Source organism: Homo sapiens, chromosome Y, assembly GCF_000001405.40.
Source record: "Homo sapiens chromosome Y, GRCh38.p14 Primary Assembly".
Taxonomy (NCBI): Eukaryota; Metazoa; Chordata; class Mammalia; order Primates; family Hominidae; genus Homo; species Homo sapiens.
This window is the reverse complement of record NC_000024.10, coordinates 19,052,271-19,068,545: the sequence shown is the minus strand read 5'-3', so window position 1 is coordinate 19,068,545 and position 16,275 is coordinate 19,052,271. Positions and strand designations below refer to the sequence as shown.

Below are 16,275 nucleotides of genomic sequence, written 5' to 3'. Positions count from 1 at the left end.
CCTGCTCTCTTTAAAATAGCCAATCGGAATTAGCTTAGACTATGTGCAGTCCCACCCTAGCCAATAGGGCATTACACAGCAGTAGGGGCTACCTGTATCAGGAATAAAAACTGCTTCCCCTCCCTCATCCAGGTGTGCTGTCACCATTACTCCATCTGCAACTTGCATCCTTCTATAGAAGTAAAAATTGTCTGCAGTGGCATGATCATGGGTCACTGCAGCCCTGAGATCCTGGGCTCAAGTGATTGTCCTGTCTTAGCCTCCCAAGTGGTTAGGCCTACAGGCAGGTGCCACCACACCAGGCTAATTTAAAATATGTTTTATAGAGATGGGGGTCTTCGTATGTTTCTTAGGCTGGTTTTGAACTCCTGACTGCTAGTGAACCTCCCTCCTCAGCATCCCAAAGTGCTGGGATTACAGACATGAGGCATCATGTCCAACCTTAAGAAGATCCTTACAAGAGAATCTGGAGAAACTTGAAACAGGGAGGGGACTTGGAAAGCAGACTGAGTAAGCAAGTTGTGAAGACTTAGTGGTGTTTGTTAACAGGTATTCACAAAAAAAAAAAACTTGGAAAAAGAGAAAATGAATTGATTCCCAGTGGAGGGAATTGGGAAAACTTTAGTTAGGGGAGTGGCTCTTGAAAGGATAGAGGAAAGGAGACAGAAAATAAAGCAGGAATGGGGAACAGGGCAGTGGAGCAGAAGCTAGGTGGTGTTTATTTTGTGCCTACTGTATGTCACACTCCATTCTCTGCCCTGGAAACATTTGACAGATGTGGATGTCACTGGTGTCATTTGCATACATTCTGGAGGGAGAAGTGGGCATCTTGGTTCAGGAAAGGAAATGGTTATGTGGGGAAGTGTGATGGGCAGAGCTCAGGAGTGAGCCTTGTGTTAGTCAGTTGTGTAGCTGCTGGCTCTGATCAGCTCAACAGATGTGTTTCCTAAATAGCTCTATTGTCTAAGACAGACTGGTATTTGCTCTCATAGATTTTTGTCAAGACAATAAAGTGTGGGCCAAGATAGTAGTTTTGGGTCAAAATAGAAGGGGATTAGAGATTTTGAAGGTAGAAGCCTGCTGGTAGAAGCAGTATAGAAGGAAGAATATGGATTCTGTTTGCCCAAATGCATGGCTAGGCTCACCTTGGACTTGTTTTTGTTTTATATCTCCTAATACTTCTATGTGCATATTAATAGATACCTAGTTAATATTAGGTTGAAACTTTGTTTGGAAGTCTGAAAAGTTCTGATTTTTACAAAGGCTTATGGTCTGAGAAGGCAGTAATACCTGACAGAAAATACTTAATATTTTATACAATAAACATTTAATGTGTTAAACTTGTGCCAAGCTTATGAACAAATGTGAGTGTTGGAGAGTTGTCTCAAGTGGGTAGTATGCAGTCTTCATTCTGGATGTGAGCCTCTGTGGTCTGCGTGTGGGGCAGCAGCACTGGGCCCCTGTTAGGGAGCCTTCCATTGGATGGCTGTCTCCAGTGGCAGTGTTTCTATCAGTGCCCTAAATTACGCTTTGGCTTAACTGCAGATACAGAGATGAATGGAGACCAGAAGTAAATGTTTTGGATGGCTCATTGCCCTGCAGTGTGCTCAGGTCCAGGTGCACGTAAAGGGAGTTGCTTCCGGGTACAGAAGGGCCCTGTGTGGCAAACTTTCTTTGTGTTTATTTTTACATAAGCCCTCCACAGTTATGCTGAGTCCTTTTCTTAACTAGCCCTTCCCTCATATGGGAACATTTTACTTTTTCAGGTGTTATCTTGAGGGAGATAATTTGTTTTACAATTGTGGCATTGCCACAGTGCTGCTCCAGTCACGGTTTCCTTTTTGAGTGTTAGACTGCACTGGATTTGCTATCGAGATCCAGGAGGGCCTGGGTGACCTTTACTCTGGTGTTTCTCTAGCTCACTGATTATTGTGCCAGTAGGAGCCAAGGGCTCATTGAAAGTATCTCTCAGGGCCTGACATCAGACAGGTCAGCTAGGCCTCTCCTTCATTTTATTTATTTATTTTTTCTGAGACAGTGTCTTGCCATGTCGCCCAGGCTGGAGTACACTGGCACGATCGTGGCTCACTGCAACCTTGACCTCCCAGGCTGGGGAAATCGTCCTTCCTCAGGCACCTGAGTAGCTCGGACCACAGGTGTGTGCCACCACACCAGGCAACTTGTGTCTTTGTTTGTTTTTTTGTAGAGCTGGGGTCTCACTATGTTACCCAGGCTGGTCTCAAAATCCTGGGCTAAGCAATCCTCCCTACTGCCTCCCAGAGGGTTGGGAGTACAGTGTTAGCCACTACGCCTGGCCACCTCTCCTTACCTATCCTAAAAATGGCTTGTTGTTTCTTTGTCATCCAGGGGTTCATTTGTTTTTATTTGCTGTATAATCTCCTCACAAGGATGCTTTTGAGGGCTCTGCTTTCAGTGAATCAGGTTTCATATAAATAATTTAAGATTAATGGGCTAAGAAAGGCTATTTAGTTTCAAAGTGTTCATAGCTGGGGCTGAAATCAACCCCTCCTGGGCTGTCAGGTTTAATAATCTTGCCGCCTTTTTTATTATCAGAGTCTCCTCTTTTTATTTATAGAGATGGGGTCTTGCTATTTTGTCCAAGCTGGTCTGAAACTCCTGTGCTCAAGCTGTCTTCCTACCTTGGTCTCCCAAACTGTTGGGATTACAGGTGTGAGCCACTGCTCCTGGCCTTAAGATATTTTTTATATCAGGTCACGTTTGTTTTATCTAGGGGGCAAACCTTCCTTGTAAGTAATGTTTTTCTAGTGATGCTGCACTCTTGGAGTCAGTTATCTGTCACCTGAATCTTCAGGGACTGTTTTGGGCTGTCCTGAGGGGGGATGCGGGGGGGTGGCGTAGCAGGAGTTACTACTGATGGGACTGCTGCCCCTGTAAACAGGAGAACCACTGCTCACAGATTTACCAAAGGTGTGGGGTCTTGAGCCCCAAAAGTTGAAGTTGCAGTGAGCTGAGATGATGACACTGTACTCTAGTGACAGAGTGAGACGGTCTCAAAAAAAAAAAAAAAAAAAAAAGAAAAGAAAAGTGTTGGGTCATTATTTACGTACTCGAACAAGTGACAGGCCTAGAAGGCCATCCCAAGTGAGGACAACTCAGTGCAAGAATGTTTAACTTCCAGATTACCTCATCCTTGAGAAATTTAGGAATAATCAAAGTTTCATTCTGTTAAGGTGTGGTTCTTTGATGTTAGTCATGGGAGTAAGGAATTTGCATGTAAAGCCCTGATGAGAAATGTCAAAAGAAGAAGCTGCTGGCTGCTTCAGTGGTGCAGGTGATACCTGTGCAGGAGAACTGCGCACAGCCAGCTGCTGGAGGAGAGAAGATGGCCTCCAGAGATAGCTTCGCACTGGGGGGTGACTGTTGGGGGATGAAAAAGACACATTCATGTGATGATGCTCAATTGCTTATGTCAGTGGAATGTCCAGGTTGCTTCTTGGGGGCAGTGGGTCTTTGAGATCCTGAGATCCATTCTCTTTGGAACATTGTGAATTAACAGGTGGGATGAGGGAGAATGTTCAGGTGTGGTATGGAGACATCAGGTTGCTTAACCACAGAGGGAACTTTTTTTTCCTAAGAATTATGTGGATTGGGATGTCCACACAATAGACATCCTATTTATAGATTTGAAGGGCATTAAAAGAAAAACCAACTCCAATTTGGTTTTCCTTCTTTTTCAGTGTTGAGTCTGAGTCTTTATTAGGGTCATAGCTTGTATGTGCATTTCTGTTTCTTGGACCCTGGCTGTAAAAAATGGGTCATTGAAGGTAATGAGAGTGTTTCTCTGGTCTCTGCCCTGTGTGTGCTGCTGACGAGGCAGCTGGGCCACATTTGCTATGCCCAGATCCTCTGTGACCTAACAGCAATGTTAGGAACTATTCCCGAAAGTGATAAACACAATTTCAGTTTATTAGTGCTCCTCTCATTAACCCATTGTTTTTTTCTTTCTTTCTTTCTTTCTTTAATTTTTTGATTAAAATGGAACAAGCTGGGCGCAGTGGAATGGGAGGTTGAAGTTGTGGTGACCCATGATTGTGCCATTGCCCTCCAGCGTAGGGGACAGAAGAAGACATCATCTCAAAAAAAAAAAAAGGAAATAAATATAATGGATCAGAAGGGTGTGATGTGCGTGTGACGCTAGTCCCTGATTGTGCCGCCATGGCTGCTTCTGCCCGGCCTTGCTACTGCTTTGTTTCAAATGCCAGTGAGCCTCCTTATTTTCATTCCTAGGTTTATTGTTGAGTCAGATCGTTTTCTTTCTCCCTTTCCCTTCCCCTTAGTAAATGTTCAGATCTTCTAATATTGCACCTTAGAGATCTTGGTACCATTCCCCCAGATCCATACAAACACAAAAACACAGATGATACTCAGGTTGGAACAGGAGGGTGCAAACTTAGCATCCCTGTTTGCCTCTTACTCTTCTGGCTTCCATCCTTAGCTGTGTACTGTGAGTGTTTATTGGGCAGTGTTGACAGGAGCTTCAGTCTCAGAAGAAGGATAGGAAATTGCTCTCAGACTCTGAACCCTAAGATGTGCTGCTATGTTACATTTCTGCCCCTAATCCTGATGGTTTCTCCTGCTCAATGAAGAGCACCTTTACCAAGTAGTCACCTGAGTATTAGGGCTGGAGGAGATCCGAGGGTATGACAGCTTCCCATTTTATGAGACGAGATTTGTCTGGAGATAAAATGAGCATGTGGTGTTTGGCAGGGCTGCATGTGTAGGTGGTAGCCATCGCTCATGATGTTCATGGTCTTGTAATTGGAGTAAGGACCTAAGACACATTGCTAGATGAATGTTTTCCTGTTTCTTCTTTGTTGTGAGGAGTTGCATGTGAGTTGTGAGATATGGCAAGGTTTTTCTTCATAACAGCCTGCTCAGCCTTTTATTTTTTAATTCCCAGTACATGCCCCCAACTCCACCCCACCGCCCTTTCTTCTCCTTTTCTTCTCCTTGTCTTTACTACCTGCCCGGGCGTGCCACAGCACCAGTAGCATTATCAGCACCAACTCACATTCCTTGCCTTATCTGGGAAAAGACTGGCTCTCTAGTTTGTCATAAACCACCCCTTCCTCCTCCACCCTCTCTCCCATCATGCGCCCACCTTATCTAAAAAAGTTTAAATGTTTAACCAGTTGAGCCTAGTTTAGATTGTGTGGTCCAACCCCAGCCAGTAGGAAAAAGGCAGACAAAAGTTGCCTTAAAAATAAAAACTTCTATTCTCCTTTGTTTGGGGTGCTCTCGTGGCAACCAGACATACCAGAGGCACCCTTCTGTGCAAAAATAAACTTGCTTTGCTTAAAAATCCTTTGAGGCTGGGCGCGGTGGCTCACGCCTGTAATTCCAGCACTTTGGGAGGCCGAGGCGGGTGGATCACGAAGTCAGGAGATCGAGACCATCCTGGCTAATACGGTGAAACCCCGTCTCTACTAAAAATACAAAAAATTAGCCCGGCGTGGTGGCGGGCGCCTGTAGTCCCAGCTACTCGGGAGGCTGAGGCAGGAGAATGGCGTGAACCCGGGAGGCGGAGCTTGCAGTGAGCCGAGATTGTGCCACTGCACTCCAGCCTGGGCGACAGAGCGAGATTCCGTCTCAAAAAAAAAAAAAAAAAAATCCTTTGAGTGTTCGTTTTTCCTTAAGACTCCAAGTCTTATTTGTATCATGAGTTGATTTGGATAGTAAATGAAATCATGCCTTAAGTATCTCCATGGTGGCCTAATTTGTTACCTGAAGCTTTTTCTTACAGCAGTCTCTAACAAAAATCACTTCCTGTTAACTCCTTCAGAACTGCAGGTAACTTGGTGAGTTCTTACTGTTTTGTGAATTCTTGAGGGAGATGAGAGCACCACACCACACAGGACTTGAGGGCAGCAGGCTTTTAGGTTTTGCACACAGCTTCTCAAACGGTGTGATTGGGAAATTGTTAGAATTTCCAGATAGTACCTAGTTTGGAGGTTCAATAGTGCTTTATTTTTATGTTTTATTTTTAAAATAAAGATGGTGTCTGACTGTCCAGCACAGGCTGGACTCCAGCTTCTGAGCTCAAATGATCCTCCCACCTAGCCCTCCCAGAGTGCTGGGATTGCAAGAAGGAGCCACTGCACGCAACCGCAGTCATGCTTTTAGATTGAGGATGTAGAATGGAAGGCTTTGGTGCCTATGCTTTCATGAGATTTCTTAGAGAATTTTTTTTCCCCATCTAAGTCTATCATGTTAACCAATATTCCCTACATACATTTAGTCTGTGTACAAAACACCCATGGCTGCCTCTCCTCAGTGTGGTCACTCACGCCTCTCTCCTCAGACCGATCCACATTGACCTGGACTTGGATAAGCTTACCTCACTGTTATCTGGGGTATGTGTTTCCCCTTGTGTGCCTGTCACATAATGGATCACATTTCAACCCTTTTTCTATAGGGCAGGATTTGTAGAAAGGTTTTGAATCTTAGTGATAAGCTATGACCATGAGTAAGTTACTTTATTTTTCCTTGCTTTTGGTTTTCTTCTAAGAATTGGGATTATATCTCCTCTCACGGCCTTTTGCGAGGGATTAAATGAGCTAATGACTATTAAAGTAACTGCCAGAGTGGCACATGTAAGCCCTAAATAATAATTTTATTTCTTCCTTCCTGTTTCGCTTGGCATTTGAAGCCTGGCAACTGCTGCTTTTTCCTCCAACAACTTTATTCAGATATTATTGACATGTAATAAACTGTAGTTTAATTAAAGTATACACTTTGACAAATTTTGGGTATGAATACATTATAGATAAAGACAATGAATGCATCTATCCCTACCAAAGCTTCCTAGGACCCCTTCAAAATTGCCCTCTCCCATCCCAATTTGGTTTCTGTCCCTTTAGGGTACTTCACATTTTCTAGAACTTCATATAAATGGAATCCATTCTTCCCTGTGTTGCCTTGTATCCTTGTCAAAAAATCCATTGTCAATATATGGGAGTGTCTCTTTCTGGACAATTTTTTTTTTCTTTTTTAAGAGATGGGGTCTCACTCAGTCTCCCAGGCTGGAGCTCAGTGCCATGATCATAGCTCACTGAAGCCTCAAACTCCTGGGCTCAATCGATCCTCCCGCCTCAGCCTCCCAAGTAGCTAGGACTACAGGCATGCACCACCGTGCCCCACCATGCTCGACTACTTTATTCTTTTTTGAATTTTTTGTAGAGATGGGGTCTTGCTGTGCTGCCCAGGCTGGTCTCAAACTCCTGAGTTCAAGCAGTCCTCCTCCCTTGGCTTCCCAAAGTGCTGGGATTACAAGTGTGAGCCACTGCATTGGGCCCCTGGACATCATTTTGTTCCTTTAATTTATTTATCTGTTACTACACCAGAAACACACCATCATGATTACTGTAGCTTTAATAAACCTTTAAGTCAAAAGAATATTAGTCCTTCAACTTTTTTCCTTTTTCAAACATGTTTTGGTTATCTTAGGTCTTTCACATTTCTGTATGAATTTTAGAATCAATTTGTCAGTTTTCACTTAAAAGCCTGCTGGGATTTTAATTGCGATTGCAGTGACTTTGTGGATTAATTTGGAAGGAAGTGACATTTTGGTGAATTTGAGCCTTCTGACTCATGAACACAGCTTATCCTTCCATTGATTTAGGTGGACTGTGCTTTCCTTAGCAATGCTTTAGCTTTCAGTGTATGAATCTCACACATCTTTTTTCAGATTTATCCCTAAGTATTTCATATTTTGATACTGTTGTAAATGGTTTTGCTTTTCTAATTTTTGATTTTTTTTTAAACTGGGATGGAAACCAACTTTGTAAATATGCTGGTTTTGTATCCTACAACCATACTAAACTCAATTATTAATTCTGGTGTCTTTTTATAGATTCTGTTGGATTTTCTACAGAAATAAACAAAGTCAGTTTTACTTTTTCCTTTCTTGGATACCTTTTATCTCATTTCTCTTGGGCTAGAACCTGCAGTACAGTGTTCAAAAGAAGTGATGAGAGTGGACATCACAGGCTTATTTCTGACGGTAATTGGAAAGCGCCTACTTTTTTTACCATTAACCGTGATGTTTGCTGTAGAGTTCCATAAAGGCACTTTATGAGGTTGAGGAAGTTCCCTTCTATTACAAGTTTGCTAAGTGTTTATCAGGAATGGACATTGAATTTTATAATTTATTTTGCCGTGGTCTTGGCTTACTGCAACATTTGCATCCCAAGTTTGATTGATTCTCCTGCCTCAGCTTCCTGAGGAGCTGGGACCACAGGTGTGCACCACCATGTCAGGCTAATTTTTGTATTTTTAGTAGAGACGGGGCTTCACCATGTTAGCCAGACTGGTCTCAAACTCCTGACCTCAGGTGATCCACCTGCGTTGGACTCCCAAAGTGTTAGGATTACAGGTGTGAGCCACCATACTTGGCCCTATAATTTTTTTTTTACATTTATTTATCATTTGGTTTTGATTTCTTAGTTTGTAAATATTGTTAATTACATTGTTCTTCCAATGTTAAACCAATCATGCATTCCTGCATTAAAACCCACTTGGTAACAATGTGTCATTCTTCCTGTATGATACATGGCTGGCTGGATGTCAGCTGAGCCCTGCACCTTTCACCATCCAGCAGACTAGTCATTGGGGCTACCAAGAACAGTAGGGCAGCAGAAGCTTGAGCTACACAGCTTCACTTTTGCTTCATTCTGTTGGTAAAAGCAATCGCCGAGTGAGAAGAGATTCAAGGAGTGCAAAATAGACTTTCTCCCTCGACCTCCTTATGGAATGAGCTGCATTTGAATTGGAGGTGTGGGTGAGAAGGTGAGTCTGTGCAATTTGGGCATACCTACTGCAACAACTTAAACCCAGATTCTCTTATTTTTACTATCGTCATTTATTGCGGGATCTGACCAGCAGCCCGCAATGCAGTGGGGCTCTCTTTGTTCCCAGGCAGATCAGCAGGTCAAGGAATAATAGACACACACAAGATAGTGAAAGCTGAGTCCAGGGGGGTCACTGCCTTCTTGTCCCATGGTGCCAACAATGCACTGGATATACCAGCGTTTATTATTAAGTTTAGTGAGGGCGAGGGTAGGTTAGTGAGGGATTTAGGGTCATTTGATTATGAGATGAGATGGTCACATGGGAATGAAGTAATTCTTTAACATAACATCTGTATGCAAAAGCACAGTATACAGAGATAAGAATTTACAATATAATGTGTGCATCAGTAATTTGTAACAGAGCCTTAAAACAGAAACACAGTCTTTCTATAACCTGTGATTAGCAAGATATTAATCAGCAGTAACAGTTGCAGCAAAAGCTGGTTACCAGCAATCCTTAGAAACAGGACGTGAAGCCAGACAACCAGTTAGACCAGAAATTCTCAGAAGGGAGTATGCTTTAACCCTAAAGAGGCCTAGAATAGCTGTGGCAAGATGAGGACATTTATAGCCCTATCTTATCCATATGGACAGGTGCCCTTCATGAATCCGTTTATAAGCTCTCCACAAGGGTCACATTCCATTCCCAGAGCTGTGAACATCTGCTTTTCTGGGATAGGAACCTTGGTGATATGAAACCTCCCTGACTGCATGTCCATTTATAGGTTGTCTGCAAGGGGAAGCACATCACACGCTGTTGGGTCATTCTGGCAGTCCAACCTGGCATTGTCTTTACACAATCCTGCGTGTAATTTTGTATTTACAATAATCAGGAGCATTTCATCTTTTATTCTGTAGCAATAGTTTCAGGTGGTCTCCCTACAATCATCCAGATAATTGTTTCATCTTCTGCTTTGGTTTCAAGTTATCACTAAATTACCAAACCCTTCTTTGCTAAGTTCACGGGAACAGTGTCCTGAAGTGAAAAAGGCTGCAGGCCAGGCGAGGTGGCTTACCCTTGTAATCCCAGTGCTTTAGGAGGCCGAGGTGGGCAGATCACTTGAGGCCAGGAATTCAAGACCAGCCTGGCCAACACAGCAAAACCCCATCTCTACTAAAAATATGAAAAAACTTAGCTGGGCTTGGTGGCACATGCCTGTAATCCTAGCTACTCGGGAGGCTGAGGCAGGAGAATCACTTGAACCCAGGAGGGGGAGGTTTCAGTAAGCAGAGATTGCACCACTGCACTCCATCTTTTGTGGCAGAGCAAGACTTTATCTCAAAAAAAAAAAAAAAAAAAGACTGTGGGTAGCAAGTCACTCAGTTGTCTTACCTGATATTTGTAAACATATCCAACATGTCCTGTGGTATCTTAATGGGATACACAACAGCATTTGGGATCAGCGATGCAGTGCATCCTGCATCTTGAAGTGTGATACAGGTCAGATGTGGTGCGCATAGTCCCCAGCACTTTGGGAGGCGGAGGCAGAAGGATCGCTTGAGATCAGGAGCTCAAAACCAGTCTGGGAAGTATATCAAGAAAGACCCCATGTCTACAAAAATAAAAATAAAACTTAGCCGAATGTGATGGTGTGTGCCTGTAGTCCCAGATACTTGAGAGGCCAAGACTTGGAGAGTCACTTGAGCCCAGGGGTTCTTTTTAGAGACAAGGTCTTACTCTGTGGTCCAGGCTGGAGTGCTGTGGTACCATCCCACCTCAGTAGCCTCAACTTCCTGAGCTCACGCAGTTCTCCCACCTCAGCTTCCCATGTACCTGGGACAACAGGCACATGCCACCCAGGTAATATATCTTTGAATTTTTTGTAGAGATGGGGTCTTTCTTGCTATTTTTTATAGAGATAGGGTTTAGCAGTGTCGCCCAGGCTGGTCTCGAACTCCTGGGCTCAAGTGATCTGCCTGCCTTGGCCTCCCTACGTCCTGGGATTACAGACATGAGCCACTGCTCCTGGCCTAATTTCAGCTTACTCGTTTGGAAGACTTTGGATAATAAACATTTATGTGGCCTTTGTCTCCCCTACCTTCTCAGTCCTGGCAGATTTCCTACAACGCTTGAATTTTTTGAATGATAGGATGTCACTTGTTATTCATAACTAGCTCCTTTCTGATCACACCAGAATATAAGCAGTGAGGTGACAGGTTAGGGCTGGTCACCAGAAAGACGAAGTGATTAGAGGACTGGAGCTTTCATCTTCACCAACTAACCTCCAGGGAGGGAGCAGGAGCTGAAGATGAAGCTCTAAAAACTCTTGGACACATTCGAATGCTGTAAAGGCTCCCTGCCACCCACACCTTGTTCTGTGTATCTTTTGTTTGGCTGCTGCTGAGGTGCCTTTTTTGTGTCTTACATGTTGAACACATGGAATAAAGTTAAAACAGCTTTTGTTTGTTTGTTTGTTTGTTTGAGATGGAGTCCCACTCTGTTGCCCAGGCTGGAGTGACAATCTGGGCCCACCGCAAACTCTGCCTCCTGGGTTCAAGCGATTCTCTTGCCTCAGCCTCCTGAGTAGCTGGGATTACAGGTGCCCACCACCATGTCCAGCTAATTTTTTTATTTTTAGTAAAGATGGGGTTTCACCATGTTGGCCAGGCTGGTCTCAAGCTCCTGACCCTCACGTGATCTACTCTCCTCCGCCTCCCAAAGTGCTGGGATAACAGGTGTGAGCCACTGTGCCCACTGTAAAACAGGTTTTAATGTTTTTGTCTACTGATTTTAACACCTGTTTCAGTTCTAAGTTGGTTTCCATTGATTGATTCTTTTGTCTTCGTTATGACTTTTTTTTTTTCAGCACTAGTCCTAATTCTCTGAGGCTTGTATTTTTTTCTCTCCTTCTCATGCCTAGTAATTTTTATTGGATGCCAGGCATTAGGAATTTTACTTTGTAGGGTGGTGAATTTATTTCAGAAATTGTAAAATAAGCAACATAGTTCACAGAACACAAAATATACCATTTGAAGCTCACAATTCATGATTTTTAGTATATTCATCGTATATTGTGCACCTTATCACCATTGTCAAATTCCAGAATATTTCTATCCTCACAAGGTCCCCTGTGCCGTCAGTTTCTATCCCCGTTCTCCCCCTTCCCTGACAACTAGTACTCTACTTTCTATCTCTGTGGATTTGCTTATTGTGAACGTCTCCTTAAATGGGAATTAAGTCTTTTGGATTTTAGATAAATAGAATCTAAAACCCAAATCATTAGAATTATTTTCTCTTCAGATAACTGAACTGTCAACAACAGATTGGGACTGGTTACAGATGGGGTTGCATGTGCTCTCCTGTGTTCACCTGATGTGCCTGAGCCCACAGCCCGTGGAGCAGGTTCTGCCAGCATCTATTTCTGGGCACTTTGTTGAGGCTATGATACAACCTCCTTTTATTGGTCCCTGTTGTGATCAGCACCCTGAGCTTTTAGAAAGTGTGATAGTGGCTGTGTAGCAGAGGGGTCTTCTTTCACTAGTACATTTGATGTGCCAGGAGTACATGGGTGGTGTGTGCCAAAGGACACTTGAGATTTTTTCCATTGTCTCATGGTGGAATACTGGAGGAGTAAGTGTTCCTACTTGTTAAGCAGGTATTCTGTGTGTGCTGAAAGCAGGCCTTTCGCTGACGTGTGCGGGCAGCCAGTGCTGTGGAGCAAGGCCACCATGGACTGTCTGCTGTTGATGGTAAGAGTGTGCCACTCCTGTTCTTTGTCATGGCCTCTGCTGTAAGATGAGAGAAGTCTGACACCAGTGTGATTCATGACTCTTTTGTGGGTAAGATTTTTAGGATTTTATGGAAACTTGTAGGATTTTCTATTTATATGCGGGAGTCTGACATTTCACTATTTTTAGGGTTTAGATTATGACTTCTTTATATTGGCTAGCATTTTGCAGCGCTTTAATATGCAGACTTGTTTTTTTAATGTCATCTCAGTTTTTCTGTAAATGGCCACATAGTAGATATGTTAGACCTTGTGGGCCACACATTCCCTGACAGCTATTCAGCTCTGCCATTTGTATCATGGATCATGGAGGGAACTGTGGGGCACACTTAAACAAGCCTGGCTGTTTTCCAATTAAACTACTGTTGACACTAAAATTAGAATTTTCTAATTTTAACTTAGCACAAAACATTATTTTCTTTTTCAACTAGCTATAAATATAAACCCCATTCTTAGCTTATGGACTGTCAAAAAAAGATATTGGGTCATATTTGGCCTCTGAACACCAGATTGTTGCCCTATCATAGTAGATGAACTTGGAACTGTGTAACTTTATTGACTTTTGTCCTTGAAGCTTTCTTTTCTTCCTTTTGTAGAGTTTGTTCTCTGGTTTCTCTATTTATTTTTATTTTTGTAGACATGGGGTCTTTCTTGATATACTTTCCAGGCTGGTTTTGAGCTCCTGATCTCAAGTGATCCTCTGCCTCCGCCTCCCAAAGTGCTGGGGACTACGTGCACCACATCTGGCCTGTATCACACTTCAAGATACTTTAAGAATTTTTAGGTTAGAGGGATAGATTCCATCATAGTGATATTTTATTTATTTATTTATTTATTTATTTATTTATTTATTTATTTATTTATTTTTGAGATGGAGTCTTGCTCTGTCGCCCAGTCTGGAGTGCAGTGGTGAGATCTCGGCTCTCCGCCTTCCAGGTTCAAGCAATTCTCGTGCCTCAGCCTCCTGAATAGCTGGGAATACAGGCACCTACTACCACACCTGGCTAATTTTTGTGTGTTTAATAGAGACAGGGTTTTGCTATGTTGGCCTGGCTGGTCTTAAACTCCTGGCCTCAAGTGATTTGCCCACCTCAGCCTCTCAAAGTGCTGGGCTTACAGGTATGAGCTACCACACCTGGCCTTACCATTGTGATTTAATAGTACTACAGTATTATTTTTTGTGTGTGTGTGTGAATAGAATTGCAGTCTGAACAGGAAGCATTTCCACTATAGGTGATGTGAAGAAGTTAATTTTTTCCATAAGTAGAAAGCCATGGAAACATTAAACTTCATAACAATCTATTGCTTATGTGGTAACATAAGGAATTAATTTTGTATTAAATGTGAACTAGACAGGTTGCCATGGTGTACTACATTGAAATTATTGAAAAACTCTGAGCCAGTATTAATGATAGTTTTTATAAAATGAAGCTCGTGACAGAAGGAAGTATACCAGTGGTGATGAATATGCTGAAATGGGCTTTTGCAGTAGATGCTCTGGAGGTCTTCACAAATGAGTGCCAGAGGAGGGAGAGGGCAGTAACTGAGTCTTCTGAACATTCTGAGAGCTGAGCTGTTAGGGAGAGACAGAGCCTTAAATGAGAACCCTAGTTTTTAAAACTTTATGTTTTGATGGAAGTGGCCATAATTGTTAGTGTTAAAGGATGCATTTATCTTATTGAGATTACAAGATGAAGTTCAGAGAACTTAGGTAGCCTCAATAAGATGATATAGTTAATGATTTTATGAATTTTTCCCTTTTTAGTAAATTTGTATTAAAATGGAATTATTAGGTGAGGTACAATGGCTCATGCCTGTAATCTCAGCACTTTGGGAGGCCAGGGTGGGCAGATAACTTGAGCCCAGGAATTTGAGACCAGTCTGGGCAACACGGTGAAACACCGTCACTACAAAAAATACCAAAAATAGCGGGGCATGTTGGCACGTGCCTGTGGTCCCAGCTACTCAGTAGACTGAGGGTGAAGGATTGTTTGAGCCCAGCTGTATAAAATTTGCCATTTTTACCATCTTTGAGTGTACTGTTCTCTGGTATTATATTCACATTGTGTGAGGCCATCACCAACATCCCTCTCCAGAACGTCTTCATCTTCCCAGGTGACTCTGTGTACCTATCAAACACTTAACTCTTCATTGCCTTCTCCCCATAATCCTTGGCAACCACCACTCTACTTCCTGTCTCTTAAGAATTTCACTACTCCAGGTACCTCTCCTATAAGTGGAGTCATAAAATAGTTGTTCTTTGTGACTGGCATATTTCCCTTTTGGATCAGTTTGCCCCTGTGGGTCAGTCTTCAGTTGAACTATTTGCCCCCACAGCTTAGATTCCTCAATTGTGACCAACTTGAATTTGTGGAGGTCAAAGTCAGTTTTTGTTACTTATTTACTTACTTTTGAGACAGAATTGCTGTCTTGCTCAGGCTGGAGCACACAGAGGTGCGATCGTGCTCACTGTAGCCTCAACCTCCTGGGGTCAAGCAGTCCGCCCACTTCGGCCTCCCATAGTTCTGGGATTACATGCATCAGTTGCTGCACCGGGTGTCAAATTTTACTTTTTTTAGTGGCTTTATTTTTGAGAAAATTTTCACTTCACCTCCCACAATTGGTAATGTTTATTTCAAGATACATTGCAGCCTATTCTTGTGAGTGCCTCACACTTACCAGCCATTGCATTCTGGATGTAGCATAGTGTGTTACCCATGGCTCCTGAATGGTCCTTGTGTCACCAGTCATTAGAGTGGTTGGTATGAGGCCAGTGCAAAGATGACTGTTTGTGGAAATGTATTCATGTCAATTGCCAATTGTCATGGGTCTCTCTTAGAAAGGAGTCTTTTCCCCAAAACCCAGCATTTCCCTGGCAATATGCTGTCATTTTTATTATGGTCTGTGGACATCACAGAGAAAGCGACTGCTACTGTTACTGAAATTTCAACCCATATCATGGTCAGTACCCACAGTTTTTGTCACAAAACTATAGAGGCGTCATTCTGAACTGCATCTAATACTGCTTGGAGGAGCAGCCCATTATTTGGAAATGGACAAGTGCTGTTGTAGCCACAGAATCAAGTGGCATCGAGGCTGTGTTCCCAGAAGGCCATGTGGCTTGTGGAGTGGGTGTAGTAGACATCGCCCATCATGATGTGTTGGACTTTCATTTGCCTGAATTTGTTTGTTGTGATCAATTTGGAAATAATGCTTTCAATTTCCTTCTGCTGCATATATCAGAAAAATTTCCTGCTATAACTAATATGATGTTTTGACTTTGGGTTTTAATATGTTTTAGTACCAATATTCAGGCAAAAATTCTTCATTTGAATACATGCTAGAGGCACATTGTTCACTTCCTTTAATGCTCATCTGTTTTCTACCACGTAGAATTCCCTTCCTTATGTCACATTTTGATTCTCCATTCTTCTGTTGATGGACACGGGTTGTTTCAAGCTTTTGGCTGTTGTGATTAATGCTGCTATGAACAGGGGGCTACAAATATATGTTCAAATCACTCATTTTGCTGCTGTTGGATATGTAGCCAAGGGTATATAGATCTTTGAAGTAGAATTGCTGGATCTTATGGGTAATTCTATTTCTAAATTTTTTTTTTAAGACAGTCTCTGTGGCCCAGGATGGAGTTCAAGGCC

General features: G+C 42.7%; 1 long non-coding RNA gene across 8 annotated transcripts in view; it reads left to right on the top strand.

The window, feature by feature from the left end:
- Positions 1 to 16,275, top strand: part of TTTY14 (testis expressed transcript, Y-linked 14) — a 205,047-nt gene that overhangs the window by 9,002 nt on the left and 179,770 nt on the right. The gene's annotated exons all lie outside the window — the stretch shown is intronic.